The sequence below is a fragment of the Homo sapiens genome, chromosome 1 (assembly GCF_000001405.40).
Source record: "Homo sapiens chromosome 1, GRCh38.p14 Primary Assembly".
NCBI classification, from domain to species: Eukaryota; Metazoa; Chordata; class Mammalia; order Primates; family Hominidae; genus Homo; species Homo sapiens.
The window spans coordinates 9826107-9847678 of NC_000001.11; the positions used below are offsets into that span (position 1 = coordinate 9826107).

Consider the following 21572-nt stretch of genomic DNA (forward strand, 5'->3'; position numbering starts at 1 on the left):
ATGATGCCACATAGATCTAGAAATACCAGGCTTTATGTGGCAAATAAATGAAAGTGCCACATAGAGCCTGGTGTTTCTAGATACATGAGTTTCTTTTTCCCTTCAAGAAGAAGGCTTCTGTGCTTCTAGTATACCAGCGATCAGAGTAGGTACTCAATAAATAGTGATGAACTCAATGAATTGCTGAGTTAGGTTTTATTATTATGGAGCTCACATCTCAGAGGGTGAAAAAAGATGTACCCTGTAGATTTCCAGGGACCTTCGAGATTTGCAAAACATAAAATCGGAAAGGTATAATCTCAGAACTATGTTTTCAGTCCATAGACTGATGATGCCAAAAGGGGAAATTTAATGTGTTCAGTTCTATTAAAAACACAAACAAAAGCTCTTCAGTGTCTGGAATCCTGATCCCTTTATCTTCTCACCCTTACTGTCCCTTAAAGAAACAGAGATAGGTCAAAAAGATCCAGCGTCAGGTGGGGCAGATAGACGGCTTGGTGAGCTCAGTGCAACCTGCACCTGCTGGGATTTCACCCACATGAGAGTGAGTCCAGCTTGAAAGTCTCGGAAACGGGGGAACCAGTAAACTCAGTTTCTGCTCTGCCTGACAATAGCCTCAGCCACATTGGCACATTTCAAAGGTTTCCCCCATGATGGATTAGTTAATCCTCCAAATGGCCCTGAGACAGGGATCGATTCAGGCTTATGCTATGGTTAGCTGGGAGAGGGGCCTTGCCTGAGCTGAGCCAGCCACTGACAAAGTGGCAGCATCAGAGGCCCTGGAGCCATGGGGAATGAGGCATCACCCAGGCCCATCCTGAACTGGGAACATAGACTTGAGGATAAGGAGGTGACTTTGTTAGCTAGTGGAGGAAGATCTGTACTTTTGAATGTATAGTGACTCTATCTGAGACAGTAGATGAAGCGCACACAAGAAAATTTTCCAAGATGCTGCACCTTCTGAGATGACTGTTGCTGATACCATATCACAATAACATATCATCTGTAACTCCAGCAACACTCTCCAGAAGGTATTTTTGGCCAGGCACAGTGGCTCATGCCTGTAATCCCAGCACTTTGGGAGGCTGAAGCGGGCAGACCACTTGAGGCCAGGAGTTTGAGACCAGCCTGGCCATCGTGGCAAAACTTTGTCTCTACTAAAAATACAAACATCAGCCAAGCACGGTGGCAGGTGCCTGTAATCCCAGCTACTTGGGAGGCTGAGGCAGGAGAATCACTTGAACCTGGGAGGCAGAAGTTGCAGTGAGCCAAGATGGCGCCACTGCACTGAAGCTTGGGTTAACAGAGCAAGACTCCAACTCAAAAAAAAAAAAAAAAAAAGGTACTTTTATTGTTCCTATTTTACAGATGAGGAAAATACCAAATTTGCTCCAGAGTACATTGCTAGAAAGTTGGATCCCTGAGATTCAATTTCATGTCCATCTGAACCCAAAACGGTGACTTAGCCTCAGTGTGAAATTACCCCACAGATACCAAAATAACCCCTGCACAGGATTCCACAGCTTGGAGTCAGCCTGCTCCCCAACAGTGAGAAGGTGGGGCTTCGAGCAAGCCCTGGCTTTGCCACCTCCGACTGTTGAGGCCGATCTCAAGCCTGGACTTCCTCACCGGGGACATGAGTTCCCCGGCCCGGAGTTGCGGTGAGGATGAAATGAGATCACATGCAGGAAAGCTCTTAGGCAGCAATGCGGAGCCGCGGAGCCATTCTCAGGCGGGCGTGTTACTACTGTTTTGCACAGTGTGGGCTTGGCGGGTGTTTGTGGAGCGGAGCCGGAGGCAGGTAAGCAGTTATTATAGCCGCTTTCCTAATAATGTGCTCGGGAACAAACCCACTTGAAAGCGGCAGCAGGAGAAGGTTATGAGAATCTTGATGAAAGCAGCTGATTAGAAACTCCTGGAAGTTCTTTACTGAAAGAACCGCAGCACCCAGAACCACCACCAGGGTCCCCCTCAGAACCCCAGAAATTACAAGGTGTGGCCTCATCTCTGTGTTCTCGTGTGCCGGCCAGGTCATTTCGTTGCTGTTAAAAGGGATAATTAACGAGAAGGAAAATGATGCTGTGCTTAGGAGCAAGGACTCTGGTTGGACAGAATGGTGCAAATCCATTTCTGTCCACTTCCTTCCTTTTGGTAAAATTTCAATTTAATTTTGCTTTATAGTATATTAAATATTTGGCTGGGTGCGGTGGCTCACGCCTGTAATCCCAGCACTTTGGGAGGCCAAGGCGGGCAGATCATTTGAGGTCTGGAGTTTGAGACCAGCCTGGCCAATACTGCAAAACCCAGTCTCTACTAAAAATACAAAAAAAAAAAAAAAAAAGGCCAAAGTGGGCAGATCACCAGAGGTCAGGAGTGTGAGACCAGCGTGGCCAACTTGGCAAAACTCCAAGTTTAGTCTCTACTAAAAATACAAAAATTAACTGGATGTGGTGGCGGGCACCTGTAGTCCCAGCTACTACTCGGGAGGCTGAGGCAGGAGACTCACTTGAACCCAGGGAGGCAGAGGTTGCAGTGAGCCAAGATCGCACCACTGCACTCCATCCTGGGCAACAGAGCGAGACTCCATCTCAAAAAAAAAAAAAAAAAATTAGCCCAGCAGGTGCCTGTAATCCGAGCTACTCGGGAGCTGAGGCAGGAGGATCGCTTGAACCCAGGAGGCAGAGGTTACGGTGAGCCAACTGCACTCCAGCCTGGGTGACAGAGTGAGACTCTGTCTAAAAAAAAAAAAAAATTTTTTTTAAAATAGGGGCCGGGTGTGGTGGCTCACGCCTGTAATCCCAGCACTTTGGGATGCCAAGGTGGGTGGATCACAAGGTCAGGAGATCGAGACCATCCTGGCTAACACGGTGAAACCCCATCTCTACTAAAAATACAAAAAATTAGCCGGGTGTGGTGGCGGGCGCCTGTAGTCCCAGCTACTTGGGAGGCTGAGGCAGGAGAATGTCGTGAACCTGGGAGGCAGAGCTTGCAGTGAGCCAAGATCGCACCACTGCACTCCAGCCTGGGCAACAGAGCAAGACTCTGTCTCAAAAAATAAAATTATATATATATATTTCCATGGCTCCAAAGTCATATCTAGAAAGCAGGGTGTTCAGAGAAGTCTAGATCTATTCCTGTTTCCTCCTCCCTATATCCTCCTTCCTTTATAGGTTACCATTTCTTCTATTTTTAGTTTATATTTCCATTGTGTTTCTTTTTTTTAAGTACAAGCAAATAGTTGTATATATGTCTTTCCCTTTTCTTAGCTAAAAGGCAGCAAATCATACCTGCTACTCTGTATCTTGCCTTTTTTACTTCATAAAACATCCTGGAGATCATACCATTGCAGTATGTAGTACAAACAGTCTTTTTTTAAAAAAAAAAAAAAAAAAAAAACAGGGTCTTGTTCTGTCACCCAGGCTGGAGTACAGTGGTGATCATTGATCATAGCTCACTGCAGCCTCAAACTCCTGGACTCAAGCGATCCTCCTGCCTCAGCCTCCTGACTCACTGGGACTTCAGGTGTGCAACCCCCACACCCGGCTCAGCATTTGTTTTCCTAGCTTCGTAGTGCTGTCCCGCGTGGACTTAGCAGAGTTTATTTAATCAGTGCCCCTTATTGAGGAATATTTTTCCCCTGTTGATGGGTCGTTTCCAATTTTTTGTTTTTATGGAATGCTGCAGTGAAGCCTTTTTTTTTTTTTTTTTTTTTTTGAGACGCAGTCTCGCTCTGTTGGCCATGCTGGAGTGCAGCGGCGTGATCTTGGCTCACTGCAACCTCTGCCTCCCGGGTTCAAGTGAGCGATTCTCTTGCCTCAGCCTCCCGAGTAGCTGGGACTACAGGCACGCGCCACCACACCCAGCTAATTTTTGTATTTTTAGTAGAGACGGGGTTTCACCATGTTGGCCAGGTTGATCTCAAACTCTTGACTTCGTGATCCGCCCGCCTCAGCCTCCCAAAGTGCTGGGATCACAGGTGTGAGCCACCGCGCCCGGCCTGCAGTGAAGCCTTTTTGTACCTTTTGCCATTTTTGCCTCTTTCTACCTGTGTGACCTTGGGTAAGGCCCTTCACCTCTCCAATCTCAGCATCTCCATCTGTAAAACAGAGACAAGCCCTCCCCACTGGGTGGTTGTGAGGAACAGATGAGGTGATGTGCAAAAAGCAGAGCACAGGGCCCATTCCTAGAAGCAGGTGTTAACCAGCACCTGCTGTTACTAGCACCCATTATTGTTCATGGCTAGGAGCCTTAAGCTACTGTGGCAGTGGCAGCAACCCTAACTTAAGAAGGGGCACTTCAGGCAGGGTGTGGTGGCTCATACCTGTAATCCCAGCACTTTGGGAGGCCGAGGTGGGTGGATCACAAGGTCAGGAGATCGAGACCATCCTGCCCAACATAGTGAAACCCCGTCTCTACTAAAAATAAAAAAATTAGCTGGGCGTGGTGGTGCATGCCTGTAATCCCAACTACTCGGAGTCTGAGGCAGGAAAATCGCTCCATCTTTTTTTTTTTTTAAGATGCAGTTTTGCCCAGGCTGGAGTGCAGTGGCATGATCTTGGCTCACTGCAACCTCCACCTCCCGGATTCAAGCGATTCTCCTGCCTCAGCCTCCCAAGTAGCTGGGATTACAGGCATGCACCACCATGCCCAGCTAATTCTTGTATTTTTAGTAGATTTGGGGTTTCTCCATGTTGGTCAGGCTGGTCTTGAACTCCCAACCTCAGGGGATCCGCCCACCTCGGCCTCCCAAAGTGCTGGGATTACAGGCGTGAGCTACCGTACCCAGCCTGTTTCAGACTCTTTCTAATGCTCTCTATGGCTCTCCATTTGCAAAGGAAGAACTAAGGGCATTCCCAAGCATGAAGCATCAGCTATTGCTGGCTGGTGAATTTCCAGAGAAAGAAAACCTCACCTTCCCCAGAGGCCAGGCAGCTCATGTCTGCACCCCGAAAGGTGGGATGAGGATTGGGGTTTTGTGCTCATGCTGCCTCCCACTGCAAAACCAAAGGCAACACACAGCATGTTCCCCTTCCCTCTGTGGATGGGCAGCTGGGGGAGGTCCCTTGTGTGTGTGTGTGGTGGTGGGGAGGCGGCGGCTATTTTATTCTGCAGCACGAATTATACACCCCAACGCAATATACAGCACACACAACATGTAGGCAAACGTGATCCCTAGCCTCTGGGGATACACAAGCCAAACACGACATGCCTATCCACACATAGCACCCCAGTGCCAAGAGAATGGGCTGGGTTTGCAGGGAGGAGCAAGAGAGGAGGGAAAGCCTGAGGCAGAAGGGTCACGGCTTCCCCTACACTGCAGAGGAAATGGCACAGAGAAAACAGCACCAAGCTTAGAGTCAGGAGACCTGGGTTCTATCCATAGCTCTATCATAATATGTTGGAACTGGGGGAGGCTGTTGGGTAAGGTGGTTAAAAAACAAAAAAAAAGGAGGAATGTCTTATATGGCCTTGATTCAAATAGACTTCGGTTCCAGTTACTAGCAGAAAAGACCAGACAACCTGATCACTCTGAGCTTCAGTTTCCTCACCTGTAAAATGGGCAAAATAATAATACCTCCTTGGGCCAGGCGTGGTGGCTCATGCCTGTAATGCCAGCACTTTGGGAGGTTGAGGCAGGTGGATCACCTGAGATCAGGAGTTCGAGACCAGCCTGGCCAACATGGTGAAACCCTGTCTCTACTAAAAATACAAAAATTAGCTGGGCGTGGTGGCGGGCGCCTGTAGTCCCAGCTACTCGGGAGGCTGAGGCAGGAGAATTGCTTGAACCTGGGAGGCGGATCTCTTGAACCTGAGATCACGCCATTGCACTCCAGCCTGGGCAACAAGAGCAAAACTCCGTCCAGATAATAATAATAATAATAATAATACCTCCTTTAGATTGTTGTATTAAGTGAGAGGATACAGATAAAGCGTTTAGCTCAGCGTTTGACACAAGTAGATGCCCAGTTAGGTGATTGCTCTTACAGTGATGGTGGTGGTGGTGATATATGTGGGTGTACTTTGAAAAGTCTAGGCCGGGCCAGGCGCGGTGGCTCACACCTGTAATCCCAGCACTTTGGGAGGCCAAGGCGGGCGGATCACGAGGTCAGGAGATCAAGACCATCCTGGCCAACACGGTGAAACCCCGTCTCTACTAAAAATACAAAAAAAAATTTAGGCGGGCGTGGTGGTGGGCGCCTGTCGTCCTAGCTACTCAGGAGGCTGAGGCAGGAGAATGGCGTGAACCTGGGAGGCAGAGCTTGCAGTGAGCCAAGATAGCACCACTGCACTCCAGCCTGGGCAATAGAGCGAGACTCCATCTCAAAAAAATAAATAAATAAGGAAAAAAAAAGTCTAGGCCAGGTGTGGTGGTTCACGCCTGTAATCTCAGCACTTTGGGAGGCCAAGGCAGGCAAATACCTGAGGTCGGGAGATCGAGACCAGCCTGACCAACATGGAGAAATCCCATCTCTACTAAAAATACAAAAATTAGCTGGGCGTGGTGACACATGCCTGTAGTCCCAGCTATTCAGGAGGCTGAGGCAGGAGAATTGCTTGAACCCAGGAGGTGGAGGTTGCAGTGAGCCAAGATCATGCCATTGCACTCCAGCCTGGGTAACAGAGCAAGACTCCATCTCTGAAAAAAAAAAAAGAAAGAAAGAAAAGAAAAGTCTAAGGAGGAGATGGGCACAGTGGCCATGCCTGTAATCCCAGCACTTTGGAAGGCTGAGACGGGCGGCCACCTGAGGTCAGGAGTTTGAGACCAGCCTGGCCACCCATGGTCAATATGGTGAAACCCCATCTCTATTAAAAATACAAAAATTAGCCGGGAGTAGTGGCGGGCACCTGTAATCCCAGCTACTTGGGAGGCTGAGGCAGGAGCATGGCTTGAACCCGGGAGGCAGAGGTTGCAATGAGCTGAGATTGCGCCACTGCACTCCAGCCTAGGTGACTGTGGGAGACTCTGTCTCAGAAAAAAAAAAAAGAAAGAAAGTCAGTCTAAGGAGATGATGATGCTATTATAACTACTATCATGTAGCACATCAGCATTTGCATTTGTAAGCATACTCCCTGTTTCAAAGAGCATCTATATGCATTTTGGTCTAACAGTAATCTCCTGGATGGAGGTTCTTATCATTCCCCTTTAACTGGTGGGAAGCAGGAGTTTAGAGGGGTTGAGTGGCTTGTCAAGACCATTCAACTGACCAAGGACAGTGGCTCACACCAGTAATCTTAATTCTTTGATGAGGCTGAGACGGAAGGATATCTTGAGGCCAGGAGTTCAAGACCAGCCTGGGCAATATAGTGAAACCTCATTTCTACCAAAAAAAAAAAAAAAAAAAGTTAGTTGGGCATGGTAGCAGGTGCCTGTAGTCCCAGCTGCTCGGGAGGCTGAGGCAGGAGGATCACTTGAGCCCAGGAGTTCAAGGCTGCAGTGAGCTATGATGGCACCACTGCACTCCAGCCTAGGTGACAAAGCAAGACCCTGTCTCTGAAAAAAGACCTTCCAGCTTAGAAGTACCATAGCCAGGCCTCAGATGAGGCTTCTCTGGCTTTTTGGTGCTTTTTCCTTGACCTTGAAGCTCCCTAGGCCAGAAAACTGCAGTAAAAATCAGAGCCAGACTTCAGGACGTCTAGTCCTCTCCAGCCCCCCGCTCATGTAGTTGTTTGCAGACACAGCTCTTTTTCCTCCTTCCTCTTCTGGGTGACAGGGATTAACACCCACCCCACCCCTAGAGATCTAGAAATACAAATACAGCCCACACATTGTTCTGTGGGCTAGCCCTCCAGGAAACAATCTACATTCATTTCTGATTTCATGCTGGTAGCAATCCCATGCAATGAATACTATTATTATTATTAATTTTTTTTGAGATGGAGTCTCGCTGTGTCATCCAGGCTGGAGTGCAGTGGCAAAATTTTGACTCACTGCAACCTCTGCCTCCCAGGCTCAAGTGATTCTCCTGCCTCAGCCTCTCTAGTAGCTGGGACTACAGGCGCCTGCCACCACACCTGGCTAATTTTTGTCTTTTTAGTAGAGATGGGGTTTCACCATGTTGGCCAAGCTGGTCTTGAACTCCTGGCCTCAAGTGATCCACCCACCTCTGCCTCCCAAAGTGCTGGAATTACAGGTGTGAGCCACTGTGCCTAGCCTTATGAATACAATTAGTATCCTTATTTTACAGAAGAGTACACTGGGGCTCAGAGAGGTTATGCGATTTGCCCAAAATCACACAGCAAAGTGGTAAAGCCAGGATTCAAACCTAGATCCGCGGCCCTAAAGCCGACGCTCTTCCCCACATTACTGCTCTGATGGTGAACGTTTCTGCAAGGCCATGAGAAGACAGAGGGGCACCAAGGTGGAAGAACTGCTTGGCTGCTGGTGTCCATCCTGTTTGATAGCCCCCTCCAGCTCTGAGAACTCATGCTATGGTGAGTGTCAGAGTGGAGCCAAGACACTGGGATGGAGCAGTGGCGGGAGGGGGGTCCCTGACCGTAGGCTGCCAGGAAGTCCTCTCTATGCAAGGACAAACCTGTCTTGATCATCCCAAGCCAGAGCACGCACTCACACTCGTGCAGACATGCCTCCTCACTTGCAAGCAGCCCTTTCAGGTGTTCACACCCTTCTCGAACTTTCTCTCATTTAACCCTGGCTCTGCTACTTCCTAGTTCTGTGGCTTCTCTTGTCTATTTCCTCATCTATAAAATGCGATAGTAATGACACGGGCCTCATAGGGATGTTGTGTAGATTAAATATGATAAAGCAAGGGCTGGGCACGGTGGCTCGTGCCTGTAACCCCAGCACTTTGGGAGTCCGAGGTGGGCGGATCGCTTGAGATCAGGAGTTTAAGACCAGCCTGGCTAACATGGTGAAACCCCGTCTCTACTAAAAATACAAAAATCGGCCAGGTGTAGTGGTGCATGCCTGTAGTCCTAGCTACTTGGGAGGCTGAGGCAGGAGAATCGCCTGAACCCAGAGGGTGGAGGTACAGTGAGCTGAGATCGTACCACTGCACTCCAGCCTGGACAACAGAGCGAGACTCCGTCTCAAAAAAAAAAAAAATTATAAAAAACAGCAACAACACAACACATGAAATGCAGGTGTCCGAGGTGTCCAGCCCACTGCGAGTGCTCAGTGAACGGTGGCTCTCATTCTAGCTAGGACCGTTACTGGGCATCCCACAACCCCCAGGGCATGGACAGGGTAGATGTGGCTGACCCTCCTCCTCTCCTCTGCCCTCTACCTGGCCAAATCCTTCTAGTTCTTTGAGTCACTGAGGACTGAGTCCCTGGGTCTCTGATGAGGGAGACCCAGCTAGGTGCCTTCCTCCCAGAGCCTACCCTCCCTGTGGACCTGACCCACGCCCCCAGGCATCTCCAGATGCCTGATCTGGGGCCCAGAACGTCCCAGCAAGCCTTGTTGACAAGGGCCTGCCACTGCCCCATTCCCTGTCCAGCCTGCGGGAAAAGCTGCGAAGGAAACGCTTACCCAGGGAGGGACGTCTCTGCTTCTACTCCTGTGTGCACCCCGCTGCCAGGGACCCCCCAAGGCCTCTGCTTTCCAGTTCCCCTTGGGCCTGAAGGGGCAGCAGGAGGGAGGGTGATTCCTGCCTCCTCTCCCTTCTCGCTCAGCCGGCCTCATTGAAGTTGCAGCGCTGGGACTTTGATCATCAGAGGGCATTGATTTAGGGGATGCAAATGAGAAGACTGCCGGTCTGAGGAAGACAGGCTTCTCCCCTGACAGCCAGTGGATGGGGCTCCGAGAATTCTCAATGAGCCTCCCTGCAGCTGGCTTAGCAGGAGCCAGGGAGGAGCCCGGAGCAGCCTGGGAAAGGCAGGGAGGCAAACTGGAAGTGCGCTGGAGCAACATGGGCCCCTCCCACTCTGCCCAGACCACGGGAAGTAGGGATGACCTAGTGGCCCGGAGAGGGGTGGTGTGGAGGAGTCTGTGAATCTCCTTCCTCCCCTGGTCCTTGGCAGCACAGGCCCAGCTTGGAGCTGTGCCGAGTGGGTGAAGAAAGACCACCTGAGCTGCAGGCTGAAGCCTCATTCTGTCCCTGGTCTGCTGCAGCCAAGCCAGGGAGCTGAAGGAGGAGGCAGATGGGCAGGCCGAGGGCAAGGAGCCTCCACACATGGTGGAGGGCGGGGGAGGCTCTGCCTGGTGCCAGCGCTGGGCAGGAGGTGCTGCATGTTAAGATCACAGCTAGTGCCAGCTTCCAGGCCTGAGCAGGCCACCTTCCAGCTGCAGGAGGCAAGCACGGGCAGGACAGTCTCCAGATAGCCTGTCTCTGGGGCCATGGAAACACAGAGCACTCAGGCCTGCTGCTGAGACGGGCACCAGGAAGAAGGGACATGAGCATTGTGCTACAGCATTTGGCCATCTGCCCCTGGACCTGTCTGCCACTCTAGGGATGAGGAGAGATGGCAGCCCTGAGCGTCATGTCTCCAAAGCCAACCCAGACCTGCCCCAGGGCCCCCAAATAGTCCTCACCTGTATGTGAGTCACACCGTGCCACAGAGAACAACCCCCAGAGCACCTGAATCACTTCCTCCCTGCGCCAGGTGTCTGCCAAGGCCCCAGTCAGGCTGCCACAGTGTCAGGACTTGCAGAAGGCTCTGGAAACCTCGCTTCTGCAGCCTGAAGCTAAGAGGCCCTTGGACACCTTTATCTTGCCTCTAGCCAAAAAGGCCAGGCTTTGGTGCCTGGCTCTGGACAGGATCCAACCAGGGTGCCCCACTGTCTTATCCGTCCCCTCCTCTGAGCCTCCCCCGGAGATTTGCCCTGAGCAGGATGAAGGGGAAACGGATGGGAATTTGTTCATCTTTGCTAATTTGAAAAGGGGCATAAACAGTGGAGCTCCGTTGCAAGGCTCTGCAGAGGGTGTGGTTTAGGTCCAATTATGTGCGATTAGTGGATTTGTTCTTTGTTCTGTGGCATATTAATTGCAGATCTGGTATTCTGGCAATTAACACAATTATGGGGTCCGTTTCTCTTCCGGCAGGTCGTAAGCCACATGCTTTCGGCCAGGGAGTTCGAGCTGGTGAGAGGGAGGGGGATACCCGTGAGGAGAATGTCCAATGTTATATGGGTTCAATTATGTTCCCCCCCAAAACTTAGATGTTGAAGTCTTAACCCCCACTACCACAGAATGTGACCTTATTTCAAAACAGGGTCTTTACAGAGGTTATCAAGTTAAAATGCAGTCATTAGGGTGATCCCTAATCTAATAGGACTGGTGTCCTTATAAAAAGAGGAGGTTAGCGCCGGGCACGGTGGCTCACGCCTGTAATCCCAACACTTTGGGAGGCCAAGGCAGGCGGATCACAAGGTCAGGAGATCGAGACCATCCTGGCTAACATGGTGAAACCCCATCTCTACTAAAAATACAAAAAATTAGCCAGGCGTGGTGGCGGATGCCTGTAGTCCTAGCTACTCAGGAAGCTGAGGCAGGAGAATGGCATGAACCTGGGAGGCAGAGCTTGCAGTGAGCTGAGATAGTGCCACGGCACTCCAGCCTGGGCAACAGAGCAAGCTCCATCTCAAAAAAAAAAAAAAAAAAAGAGAGGTTAGGAGGTTAGGACACACTCACAGAGGGAAGACAACATGAAAAGACATAGGAAGACGGCCATCTGCACACAAGCCAAGGAGAGCGGCCCGGGACACCTTCCCCACAGCCCTCAGAAGGAGCCAATTACTGCTTGGGAGTCTGAATGTAGAATGAAAGAAAGAGAGAGAAAAAAGGAAAGAGGGAGAGAGCAATAAAGAAAGGAAAGAGAGAGAGAGAAGAAAGAAAAGAAAGAAAGGAAAGAAAGAGGAAGGAAGGGAAAGGAGGAAGGGAGGAAGGAAGGAGGGAAGGAAGGAAGGAAAGAACGAAAGAAAAGGAAAGGAAGAAGAAAGAAAGAAAGAAAGAAAAAGAAAGAGAAAGAAAAAGAGAAAATTTTAAGGCTGGGCGCAGTGGCTCATGCCTGTAATCCCAGCACTTTGGGAGGCTAAGGCCGGCAGATCATATGAGCCCAGGAGTTTGAGGCCAGCCTGGGCAAGATGAGGAAACCTCATCTCTACTAAAAATACAAAAATTAGCTGGGCACAGTGGCAGGTGCCTGTAGTCCCGGCTACTCGAGAGGCTGAGGCAGGAGAATTGCTTGAACCCGGGAGGCGGAGGTTGCAGTGAGCCGAGATTGCACCACTGCACTCCAGCCTGGGTGACAGAGTGAGATCCTGTCTCCAAAAAATGAACAGATAAATAAATTTTAAAAAGAAAGAACGGGCCGGGAGCGATGGCTCATGCCTGTAATCCCAGCACTTTGGGAGGCCGAGGGGGGCGGATCACGAGGTCAGGAGATCGAGACCATCCTGGCTAACACAGTGAAACCCTGTCTCTACTAAATATACAAAAAAAATTAGCCGGGTTTGGTGGCAGGCGCCTGTAGTCCCAGCTACTTGGGAGGCTGAGGCAGGAGAATGGCGTGAACCTGGGGGGCAGAGATTGCAGTGAGCGGAGATCGCGCCACTGCACTCCAGCCTGGGTGACAGAGCGAGACTCCATCTCAAAAATAAATAAATAAAAGATAAAAAGAAAGAACGGACCCTGTTGACCTTTCGTTTTTGTTTTTGTTTTTGTTTTGAGACAGGGTCTCGCTCTATCACCCTGGAGTACAGGGGCACGGTACCTCAGCCTCTCAAATAGCTGGGACTACAGGTGCACGCCACCACACCCAGCTAAGTTTTTAATGTTTTGTAGAGATAGGGTCTCACACTCCTGGGCTCAAGCAATCCACCCGCATTGACCTCCCAAAACGTTAGGACTGCAGGTATGAGCCACCATGCCCGGCCCGTGCTGACATGTTGATTTCAAACCTCCAGCCTCTAGAACTGTTAGAAGACGAGTTTCTGTTGTGTCAGCCACCCAGTGTGTGGTACTTTGTTACAACAGCCCTAGCAAACTAGTAGACCCACCTCTGTCGCAGGCAGTGTCTGCCAGGTGGGACACGGAAGCAGGGGTGGGGCCCCGCGTTGCTGTCTGTCTAGAAGTCACGATGAGAGATCGGCTGCCATAGTAACTGCTCTTCGGCATCTCCCCGGGGTTTGCCCATCAATGCCACCTCTGTTCTCCCAGTCCCTAGGTCTTTGTTCTCCAGGGCATGGCTGCTGGAGTCCCTTCTCCCCTCTGCACCCTTCGCTAAGTAGTCACCTGGCCCTGCCAATCCTGGATTCATCCCTTCCTTTCCCCTTTGTCTCCTAATCCTGATGGCAGAGGGTTACCTGCCCTGTAAACAGAGTATATGTTATTTTCCAAGTTAAACTAATTATAATAGGTATCTGTGCAGTGCTTTACAACCGACAGGATTCCTATCAAAGATCTCTTCTCATTCCGTACTTATAACAACTTACGGAAGTTGACTTTTTTTCTTTTTTGAGACAGGATCTCACTCTGTCACTTAGGCTGGAGTGTAGTGGCATGATCACCGCCTCACTGCAGCCTTGACCTTCTGGGCTAAAGCAATCTTCCCACCTCAGCCTCCAGAGTAGCTAGGACTACAGGCGTGTGCTACCACGCCCAGCTAATTTGTGTATTTTTTGTAGAGACAAGGTCTCGCCCTGTTGCCCAGGCTGGTCTTGAACTCCTAGGCTCAAGCAATCCACCCACCTTGGCCTCCCAAAGTGTTGGGATTACAGACACGAGCCACTGCACTTGGCCGGAAGTTGGTATTAACACCCATTTTATAGATGGGGAAACTGAGGCTCAGAGAAGTCACATACCCATAAATAGCAGAGCTCAGACTTCAACTAAGACCTCTGATATACATCTAGTTTTCTTTATTCACACCAGCAGTTTTCATGAGGTATTCCACCAAATATTCAAAAAGGGCTCCGTCAGCTGGGTGGGGTGGCTCACACCTGTAATCCCAGCACTTTGGGAGGCCAAGGTGGGCGGATCATCTGTGGTCAGGAGTCAATCAGAGATCACCCTGGGATTGTTTTTGGCGCTGGGAGAACAGCCTCCTTTCTGCTGAAGTTGCCAGGGGCCATGTCTCCCCATAGGAGGAGATGCCAGTCTGTCATAGGAGATAATGAGGCCAACAGGCAGAGTCAAGAAGAAACAGAATAAATGGTCCTAAAGGGAGAGGGTGTTTGGGAAGCAGTCCCTCAGGCCCTGGTCCCTGAGGCCCGGATCCCTGCACAATTGCCTTAATCCTGTGAGCTACCTTGAAACACTTCCAGAGATGAGAGCCAGCTGGAGTTGGGTTTCTGTTGTCTGTAATCCTAGTCAAACCAAAAAGTCTGCCCAGACAAGTCCTCAAGCCCCTTCAGCAGCCCAGAATTGATTTATCAGCCAAGACAGGCTCAGGGTGCCACGCGGTGCCAGGGCCCAGCCCCACTGAAACATCCCCTAAGGAACATGAGCCAGTAAAGCCAACAGGATGCACTCCTCTCTAGATCCTGGATTTCCTTGTTGTCAGCACCACTTTGGTTCAGAAAATAGGATCAGGGTACCTGTGGGCCACAGAGGGTTCAGCAGAGAAGCCACTCAAAAGTCAGGATGATTCAGTCATTTACCGAGCCCTTGTGGAAAGCCCACTATATGTCAGGTGCCGAGGACATGGCAGTGAAGAAGCCAGACAAGATCCAACCATGCAACTTGGCTTCTAGCGTGAGGAGTGAAACATAAACAAGTAAACAAAGAAATTCATGAATAAAAAAATAAAACAGGAAAACGGGAGTGTGTTACAGAGTGGAAAGCAAGGCTGGGCGCGGTGTCTCATGCCCGTAATCCCAGCACTTTGGGAGGCCGAGGCAGATGGATCCACTTGAGGTCAGGAGTTCAAGACCAGCCTGGCCAACATGGCGAAACCCCATCTCTACTAACAATACAAAAATTAGCCAGGCACAGTGGTACCTGCCTGTAGTCCCACTTACTCGGGAGGCTGAGGCAGGAGAATCGCTTGAACCCAGGAGGTGGGGGTTGCAGTGAGCCGAGATCATGCCACTGCACTCCAGCCTGGGTGACAGTCAAAAAAAGAGTGGAAAGCAAAATAGGGTGGTCAGGGTGAACACTCTGAGGGGGTGACATTGGAGCTGACATCTGAACATGGAGAAGGATTCAGCCATAGAGGAAGAACATTCCAGGCAAAGGAACAGCAGGTACCAAAGCCCCAAGGTGGGAGAAGCTCAGCATCTGAGGAACAAAAGGAGGCTGGTGGCTGGAGTGGGAAGAACAGGGGGACGACAGAGATGAGGTCGGATTAACAGGAGCCCTATCACCACGGCCTTGGGCTGCGCATGCCAAGAAGGGCAGATTGAGTCCTAAGAGCAAAAGGCAGGTCTGCCTTGCAGGGTCCAGGGTGGGGACCAGGACAGCCTTACTTGTGATGCCAAAGATGCCAGAAAAAGCAAGTGGCTCTCAGTCATGACCTTTTGGGGGAACCCTTGGACTGGGAACAGAACAGCAAGAGCTGGCACCACATGACCTCAGGGGCTCCAGAGATCGCTGGTGCAACCTGAGTGGTCAGGAGAGGCAGGTTCTGCTGCAGAAACAAGCAGGCCCAAGATGCCCAAGGCATGAAACAACATGCTTCCTCTGTTGCTCGTGGCCAGGACTCAGGCTGATGGGGCAGCTGCTTCTGGAACATTATAAAATGGCTCTCACTTCTGCCCACATTTCATTGGCTAAAGCAAGTTAGGGCCACACTCAAACTAAAGTGGGTGGGGAAATACAATCCCATTAAGGGCCTGGAAGGCAAAGAGCTGGGAATTTCTGGGGAACAACATTAATGACTCCCACAGCCCCCTGGAGGCTCAGACACACACGATGGAGTTACCCAGGGTGAGTGGCAGAGTGGGCTGTAGACCCACCTGGGCTCCTGGACAAGCACTGTCTGCCGTGCCGCCCTCCCCTCCCCACACTGCCCAGCCTCCTCCACTACCTAATGACCACTAATAGCTTAATCTCCTAAGCCTCTTGGCCCCTTCTGCACACCAGCATCTGCTCATCCTCCCAGCATCTCAGAGGAGGGATGGGGTGAATCCCCTGGTTACCACCCAGGGAACTAGGACACCCCTTCTTGCCCTTCTTCTCCCTTAGGACCAATGTCTGGGCCTCACATAGACCACATAGCTTGGGGAGGGGGTGGGAAGAGCAAGCCCCGCCCGGCCCTGGCAGCTGCATCAGCAGCTTAAGCAGGAACCACAGCAGGGCCTGGGCAGCTGCCAGGTTCGAGCCTAACCTCCCAGGCTCGTCCTGACAAATTGCCCTCCTAACATGTTCTGCTTCCGAAGCTGCTTCCCAGGGGTCCTCCCTGGGAAGGTGCCAGAAAAAGCAACTGGCTCTCAGACACGACCTTTTGGGAGAACCCTTAGACTGGGAACAGAACGGCAAGAGCTGGCACCATGTGACCTCAGGGGCTCCAGAGACCACCGGTGCAACCTGAGTGCTCAAAAGAGGCAGGCTCTGCTGCAGAAACAAGCAAGCCCAAGACAGAAATGAGCAAGCCTCCCGCCCTCTCTGAGTCCAGCTGCCAGAGAAGTGTCAGGGACCAATGGTCCCCAGTGGACCCAGAGGCCTCTGGCCACCCTGCCCTGACTGCCCCATGAGCCACATCACAAGCCAAGGAGAAGTGTGCCCCTCACCACCCTGGGCAGGTGCAGGAACTCTAAGGGACCCTCCCAACCACCTCAGCCCCCTACAGGTGAGCCTGGGGCCACCCGCTCCAGCTCCCTGGCACGGATGTTCTCTTCCTGCAGGGCCCTGCACCGTTGCTGCCTATTTGCACATCAGTCCTGTCCAGCAGCCTCAGCCCCGCATCTCACTTCCCAGCCCAGCGCCCAGTAGGTCCTCAGCCAGCATTTCCTGATGGGCTCAATGCCCGGCAGGGGCCCAGCTGGCACAGGCTGGGCTGATTAACTCTCGCAGTGCCTGGAGGAGTCCTGGGAGGCAGCCAGATGGCTCAGGGCTCACCTCCAAAACCAGCCGGAGGCGCTGGGAGGAGCTGCGAGAGCTAGGAAGGAAGGTTCCAGATAGAACCCTGAGGGGCAGAGTCCGGGCTGCGCCTCCCAGGGTATGGCCTCTCTACAGTCTCAGCCCTCCTGATGGGGTGGAGGGCTGAATCGGTCGGAGAAGTCTATAGACTGCGTGGCAGGGTTCTACCCTGGGATGCAGGACCAGCCCCGGACTGACTCCCAAGGGACAAGCTGGCAGGGGCAGTCCGAGCTGGGCCTGGGAGGGTGGGCAGGGCCGCCACAGGCCTCTGGGCTGGGGGCTGGGGCTGAGCCTTGCTGAGGGAGCACAGGTACAGCCACACCATAGGCCTGGCTGGAGGGGCCACCTCAGGCCAGTGAGGCCATCAGATGCTACCTGGGGAGGCTACCTGGGCACTGCAGGGGGGGGTGGATGGGCCCCCCAACTCCGCCCCACTACTGACTCCGCCAGGTCCCTTCCCCAACTGGAAGCTCAGCCCCTCCACCAAGCCAGCCCCTTTCACACAAGGATACACAAGGATGTGCACCTACGGTAAACAAAGGGCTATTTTTATAGCCTCATTGTTTCCTCTGGCAGCTTCCTAACTCCCCAGCCAAGGTACACCTCAGTCCTCCCTCCGGGCACACTGCAGACCTCCAGCTCTGCAGGCTCTGCAGGCTCCGCCCTGCCAGGTGCTGGCAGCTCGGGACTCCACCACCCCTCAGGGGCTGCGCAGAGGAGGCCAGGGCCTAGGGTGCAGCCAGGGCCCAAGGTGAGGAGCTGTGGCCTCTTCCTGTTCTGCAGATGGAGGCCTGAGGCTGGGAAGCGGCACTGAGGGGTCACGGGGCATCACCCACTGCCATGGGGGCATCTCTCAGCTGGGCCCACCTAGACCTATGTCCTGAGTCAGCAGCCTGGCCTCTTGCCCAAAGATGTCAAGTGTTGGGGGTGGCCATGCTCTGTCCTAGGGCTAGAGTAGCCTGGGCATGGAGGCAAAAGAAAGAAAGCAGACCAGACTGTCAGTTTTAGTGTTTTGAAATTCTCTCCAGACAATACACCCCCTTATTGCCTGAACCCCAGGCAGGCTGCTCCCCCGTCCGTGTCCCCCCACCCTTGGCTCACCACTGCCGGTGCCCACCCACTGAATCCAGACAACAGCCAATGAGGCAGTTGCCATGACTGTTCCCACGTTCCAGATTAGGAAACAGGCTCGGAAACATCGAGTGATTTGCCCACGACACAGTCATTGGCAGAGTCTGGATTCGATCCCAGGTCTGCAGTTCCGGAGCTCGGAGCCCAGGCCCTGCCTCCTTGGGCAGGATGTGGGCCTCCCCCCACAGCAGCCACCCTCCCAGCCTCCCCATCTTTGGGGTGAGGGGTGCGGAGTCTTGGGGCCCTGGGGGGCTGGGAAGGCAGGAGGAGGGGCTGGCCGGGAGGGAGGGGTGCTGGGGCCCAAGATGGCTCTGTCTTCCTCCTCCTCTTCCTCCTCCTCCTATTTGCTCTGAGGCAGAGCCGGCTGCAGTGAGAAGGAGCCGCTGGCTGTGATGGGTTTTTTTTAACCACTTGATCATGATCAAGGATTTAATTTTATCCCCTTTCCTGACTGGCTGTGATTCTATTTGGAGTTTAAGCACGAGGCGAGCAGGAGGGTCCCTGGAAAACAAGACTCCCACCCCCAGGCTCTGCCGAGGTCCCTCCCTGCCTGTCCAGCCATGACAGAGTCCACCCTGAGGGGACACCCTTCTCAGCTGGCAGGTTTTGGGGAAGGCGGAGGGGCTCTGCTCCAGTGAGCCCCCGTCCCCGAGGCAAAGCGGCTCAGCAGAGGGAGAGGCTCAGGGCAGGGGCTGGGGAGCTGGAGGCAGCTCTGGCCTTGGCTTCTACAAAGGGATCATCTGGGCTCCTTCATCCTCATCAAAGAAGCATTTTCTAAGCACCTCGCAGGACCTGGGGCTGTGCTCCTCCCCACACCAAAGGCTGCTGACAAGTCCTCGCTCTGTGTGACTTTTGAGTAGAGAGGATGGGGTGGAGAGAACCCACTATGGTGACTTAACAATGACCTTATGTCCTGACCCCCCACTGGTCGCAGGTCACTCTGCTAAGCGTGTCATATGCATCATCTCATTAGTTGTCACCAACAACCTCTGGCCCTGATGCTCTTATTTTTTCCATTTTTTTCAATAAGGTTCATCATTCACCCCAAGTCACACAGCTGCCAAGTGACAGATTCAGTCCTGCCTCCAGTTGGCCTCCACAGTTCCCACTCTAAACCATGATGTCTCCCCAGCCCCCAGCTATGTGGACATAAAGATTTAGGCTGTGGGGTCAAACAGTCCTCGAAGATTTAAAGTGGAAGAGGAACTCTGGCAAAATCAGCTTAGCTTGGAGGTGAAGTGCTAGGTCCGCATGGGAGGCTTCAGACAGACCCAGGGAGCTTCGGGGCAGCCTAGGAACATACCTCGCACGTGACTGAGCATGCGCCTTCACACAGGTACCATCCAGTCAACATTAGCTGTGTTGTTAACACTGGGACACACGGCTGGGCCTGGTGGCTCACGCCTGGCCAACATGGTGAAACCCCATCTCTACTAAAAATACAAAAATTAGCTGGGTGTGGTGGTGGGTGCCTGTAATCCCAGCTACTCAGGAGGCTGAGGCAGGAGAACTGCTTGAACCGAGGAGGTGGAGGTTGCAATGAGCTGAGATCATGCCATTGCACTCCAGCCTGGGTGACAAGAGCAAGACTCTGTCTCAAAAAAAAAAAAAAAAAAAAGACCGAGACATAGGAGACACCTGTCAAAGATGTTTGTGAAGATCCACCTCCTTCCACTGGAAGCAGCATGGTCAAGACCAAGGGTCAGGCAGTGGAAACTCTCAGAGGCTCTGGGTCTGAAGTCACCTCCTCTGGGGTTGCGCAGGGCGGGGCGGGGCTCCCACAGGTGTGCAAACAGGGACGACCACCTGTTGCACACACCCCTAACCTAGGGGCTCTGGAAGAGGAGCAGGGGCAGGGTGGGTAGGGCGTGGCTCGTCCCTGCATCAAGAACGCTCATGACTTCCGTGCTGGCAGGACTGGAAGGCCCTTCTGGGAACCATCTGTGATGGGGAAGTTCCAATGTCAGGGAGAAAAGTGAAAGCAAGACACTAGTTGATATTCAAAAGGCATTTCACTGCCCTTGTCCCTTGAGAAGGACTTTCTTCAAATTAGAAAGTCCTAATAGGACTCGCCCTGCAAGTCCCCCCAAATCTCCTGAACATCAGTTGTTTCCCAGAAGATCAAGTGCTTTCAGTGGACAGTGCAGAGCGGGGAAACGTTTTCTCAGCACAGCCTCAGGTTAGTCGGTTAGTCTGGGTGCATTTTATCCTTCGGGAAATGAAAAGGGTTGGGTGGCCATGGGCAACCCAGAAGAGGGAGGGAGAGAGATAAAGACAGAGAGAGAGAGAGAGAGAAATGAACCTGCCCTGCCCAAGCAAAGGCGGCACCTGGGTGGTGTCAGGGGTCCCCTGGGGCCAGAGTTCCCCCTACCACCAATGGAAGGGATCATATTCCCTGCTAAAAAGACCCTCTTCAAAGGCTGGGGCCCGCCTGGATTCTCAGTGCTGGTATTCACCTGCAGGGACAGGGAGAAGAAGCGCTTCATTCATTCTCAACTGCCCGCCCCCCAAGGCTGGGAAACACCAAGGGCCACAGCCCTCAGCCTCCCCACCCCAGGCTCGGCCTGGCCCCCTGCTGTCTCCGGCAGCTCTGCCTCCTTCCCCGCAGGCTCAGCCTGGCCCCCTGCTGTCTCTGGCTGCAGCAGTCCCAGCGCTGCCTGTTGGGGTCATTACCCCATCCCGTACCTGGGAAGGTGACCCAGGAGGTTGCCTGCTGTGTGGGCTGACGGACCCCGAAAGACCCAAGGCTGTCCCCAGTGTTTTTCCTTTGCCTGCTGAAGTGTCCCCGACTCATTTACGTGGCCTACTTCCCATGACAGTTTAGGCAGCTTAGACAGGTTAGACAGCGCCAGGAGGACGACCCCGCTTGGCTCCGGTTTCCAAGCTCTCTGCTGGGGGCTGGGCAGGTGGGACCAGGGCCAGCCGGTCAGTCCCTTGAACTACTCAGTGGCTCAGCTTAGAAGAGCTGATTAACTACAAGGCTGACAGTGTCACTCAGAGCGCTGGGCAAGGGGTGGAATCTGCACATAATCTACCTACCACGGACCCTTGGATGTGTGTCTCTATGTAACTTCTGGTTAACACAGCAATCTCTGTCTTTCTCTCAATGACTGCAAACTCCTTTCTGGACAAGAAGTTACAGAAAGAGGCAGATCAACTTAATGTAAGGATAAGCATAGGTTACATGAACATGGTCTGGACTAACTTGTGAGGTAGTGAGCTCCCCAACTCGAGAGAGTATTCAAGCAAAGCCTGGACAAGGTCTTTTCAGAAATGTTTCAGAGGGGCTTGTGCATCTAGCTACTGCGTGGGCTGCTACAAGACCCAGTATCTCCCCCAACACAAAGACTTAATGATGTTGGTTGTGCCATTGTACTCATATTCTGTAAACTCCATAGCCTCTAGGACCCAGTGAAATTCTTTGAAAAGGAAATAGAAGCAGTGAGACTATGTAAACAGAAA

General features: G+C 52.3%; 5 annotated features.

Moving 5' to 3' along the window:
• Nucleotides 9555-10156: an enhancer, noted in NCBI's record as "NANOG-H3K27ac-H3K4me1 hESC enhancer chr1:9895719-9896320 (GRCh37/hg19 assembly coordinates)". NCBI's record gives its function as "activates a minimal SCP1, AML or CMV promoter by ChIP-STARR-seq in naive H9 embryonic stem cells {active_cell/tissue: H9 hESC(naive)}" and the evidence as "EXISTENCE:reporter gene assay evidence [ECO:0000049][PMID:30033119]".
• Nucleotides 10157-10756: an enhancer, noted in NCBI's record as "H3K27ac-H3K4me1 hESC enhancer chr1:9896321-9896920 (GRCh37/hg19 assembly coordinates)". NCBI's record gives its function as "activates a minimal SCP1, AML or CMV promoter by ChIP-STARR-seq in naive H9 embryonic stem cells {active_cell/tissue: H9 hESC(naive)}" and the evidence as "EXISTENCE:reporter gene assay evidence [ECO:0000049][PMID:30033119]".
• Nucleotides 15987-16528: an enhancer, noted in NCBI's record as "H3K4me1 hESC enhancer chr1:9902151-9902692 (GRCh37/hg19 assembly coordinates)". NCBI's record gives its function as "activates a minimal SCP1, AML or CMV promoter by ChIP-STARR-seq in naive H9 embryonic stem cells {active_cell/tissue: H9 hESC(naive)}" and the evidence as "EXISTENCE:reporter gene assay evidence [ECO:0000049][PMID:30033119]".
• Nucleotides 16529-17068: an enhancer, noted in NCBI's record as "H3K4me1 hESC enhancer chr1:9902693-9903232 (GRCh37/hg19 assembly coordinates)". NCBI's record gives its function as "activates a minimal SCP1, AML or CMV promoter by ChIP-STARR-seq in naive H9 embryonic stem cells {active_cell/tissue: H9 hESC(naive)}" and the evidence as "EXISTENCE:reporter gene assay evidence [ECO:0000049][PMID:30033119]".
• Nucleotides 17610-18149: an enhancer, noted in NCBI's record as "H3K4me1 hESC enhancer chr1:9903774-9904313 (GRCh37/hg19 assembly coordinates)". NCBI's record gives its function as "activates a minimal SCP1, AML or CMV promoter by ChIP-STARR-seq in naive H9 embryonic stem cells {active_cell/tissue: H9 hESC(naive)}" and the evidence as "EXISTENCE:reporter gene assay evidence [ECO:0000049][PMID:30033119]".